Source organism: Homo sapiens, chromosome 12 (genome assembly GCF_000001405.40).
Source record: "Homo sapiens chromosome 12, GRCh38.p14 Primary Assembly".
Lineage (NCBI taxonomy): Eukaryota > Metazoa > Chordata > Mammalia > Primates > Hominidae > Homo > Homo sapiens.
In genome coordinates, this window is record NC_000012.12 from 85,002,897 (window position 1) to 85,005,624 (window position 2,728).

The following is a 2,728-nucleotide window of genomic DNA, read 5'->3' on the forward strand; positions in this document are numbered from 1 at the left end:
TCATTTTTTCTCTTGCCACGGCCATGTAAGACGTGCCTTTCACCTCCTGCCATGATTCTGAGGCCTCCCCAGCCATGTGGAACTGAAAGTCCAATTAAACCTCTTTTTGTTCCCAGTTTCAGATATGTCTTTATCAGCAGCATGAAAATCAACCAATATAGATGGGGTTTCACCATGTTGACCAGGCTGGTCTTGTACTCTTGAGCTCAAATTATGCACCTGACTTGGCCTCCCAAAGAGCTTACAGGCAGGAGTCACCATGCCTGGCTTCTCAGTAGCATTTCTTTTTTTCTTTTTCTTTCTTTCTTACTTTTGTTGTTGTTGTTGTTGTTGATGGCATCTCACTCTGTCTACCAGGGTGGAGTCCAGTGGCATGAACTCAGCTCACTGCAACCTCAGCCTCCTGGGTTCAAGTGAGTCTCCTGCTTCAGCCTCCCAAGTAGCTGGGACTACAGGCATGCACCACTACGCCTGGCTATTTTTTTTTTCTTTTCAGTAGAGACAAGGTTTCATCATCTTTGCCAGGCTGGTTTCAAACTCATAACCTCATGTGATCTACCCACCTCAGTCTCCCAAAGTGCTGAGATTACAGGTGTGAAACACTGTGGCTGGCCCTCAGTAGCATTTTTATACAGCAATAATGTTCAAGTTGAGAGCCAAATCAAAAATTTATCTAATTTGCAATAGCCACAAAAAGATTAAAATACCTAGGAATACATTAACCAAGGAGTTAAAAGTTCCATAAAAAGAGAGCTATAAAAAACTGCAAAAATAAATCAGAGATGATGCAAATACATAGAAAAATATTTCATGCTCATGAATTGGAAGAATCAATATTATTAAAATGTTCATATTGCCCAGAGCAATTTACAGATTCAACACTATTCCTACCAAACTACCAACGGCATTTTTTTTAACAGAATTAGGGAAAAAAAAATCTAAAACTCTTATAGAACTCAAAAAGAGCCTGAGTAGTCAAAGCAATCCTAAGCAGAAAAAACAAACCTGGAGGCATCACACTACCTGACTTCAAACTATAATATACTGCTACAGTAGCCCAAACAACATGGTATTGGTACAAAAACAGACATATCGACCAATGGAACAGGACAGAGAACCCATGAAAAAACTTTCCACCTACAACCATCCAATCTTTGACAAAGCCAACAAAAATAATCAATGGAAAAAGGCACCCTATTTAATACATGTTGCTGGGACAGCTGGCTGTCCATGTACAGAAAAAAATGAAACTAGACCCCTTCCTATCATAATATACAAAAATTAACTCAAGATGAATTAAAGATTTAAATGTAAGGCCTCCAACTATTAAAATCCTATAAGAAAACTGATATAGTTTGGCTGTGTATCCCCATCAAAATCTCACCTTGAATTGTAATAATCCCCATCTGTCAAGGGCAGGACCTGGTAGAGGTAATTGAATCAATAGGGGTGGTTTCCCCCATGCTGTTCTCATGGTAATGAGTGGGACTCATGAGATTTGATGGTTTTGTAAGCATCTGGCATTTTCCCTGCTCATTCTCATGCTCTATCCTGCTGCTCTGTGAAGAGGTGCCTTCTGCCATGACTGTAATTTTCCTGAGGCTTCCCCAGCCATGTGGAACTGTGAGTCAATTAAACCTCTTTCTTTTTTTTTTTTTTTTAATAAATTACTTAGTCTTGAGTATTTCTTCAAAGCAGCATGAGAACAGACTAATACAGTAAATTGGTACTGAGGTGGTGGGGCACTGCTATAAAGATACTTGAAAATGTGGAAGTGACTTTGGAACTGGCTAACAGGCAGTGTTGAAACAGTTTAGAGGGCTCAGAAGAAGACAGAAAAATGTGAGAAAGCTTGGAACTTCCCAGAGACTTGGAGGGCTCAGAAGACAGAAAAGTGTGGGAAAGTTTGGAACTTCCTAGAGACTTGTTGAACGGCTTTGACTAAAATGCTGATAGTGATATAGACAATGAAGTCCAGGCTAAGGTGGTCTCAGATGGACCTGAGGAACTTATCGGGAACTGAAGTAAAGATCACTCTTGCTGCGCTTTAGCCAAAAGACTGGAGACTTTTTGCCCCTGCCCTAGAGATCTGTAGAACTTTAAACTTGAGAGAGATCATTTAGGGTATCTGGAGGAAGAAATTTCTAAGCAGCAAAGCATTCAAGAGGAAGCAGAGTATAAAAGTTTGGAAAATTTGCAGCCTGACGATGAGACAGAAAAGAAAAGCCCATTTTCTGGAGAGAAATTCAAGCCAGCTGCAGAAATTTGCATAAGTAATGAGGAGCCAAATGTTAATCACCAAGACAATGGGGAAAACATCAGGAGGGCATGTCAGAGACTTTCATAGCAGCCCCTCCTATCACAAGCCTGGAGCCCTAGGAGGGAAAAATGGTTTGGCGAGCTTGGCCCAGGGTCCCCCTGCTCTGTGCAGCCTCAGGACATGGTGCCCTGGATCCCAGCTGCTTCAGCTCCAGACATGGCTAAAAGGGGTCAACATACAGCTCAGACCATGGCTTCAGAGGGTGCAAGCCCCAAGCCTTGGTGGCTTACACATGGTGTTGGGACTGCAGGTGTGCAGAAGTCAAGAATTGAGGTATGGGAACTGTGCCTAGATTTCAGAGGATCTATGGAAATACCTGAATGTCCAGGCAGAGGTATGCTTCAGGGTGAAACCCTCATGGAGAAACTCTGCTAAGGCAGTGTAGAAGGAAAATGTGGGGTTGAAGCC

At 42.0% G+C, this 2,728-nt stretch overlaps 1 annotated feature.

The window, feature by feature from the left end:
- Positions 1,229-1,761: an enhancer, noted in NCBI's record as "NANOG hESC enhancer chr12:85397904-85398436 (GRCh37/hg19 assembly coordinates)". NCBI's record gives its function as "activates a minimal SCP1, AML or CMV promoter by ChIP-STARR-seq in naive H9 embryonic stem cells {active_cell/tissue: H9 hESC(naive)}" and the evidence as "EXISTENCE:reporter gene assay evidence [ECO:0000049][PMID:30033119]".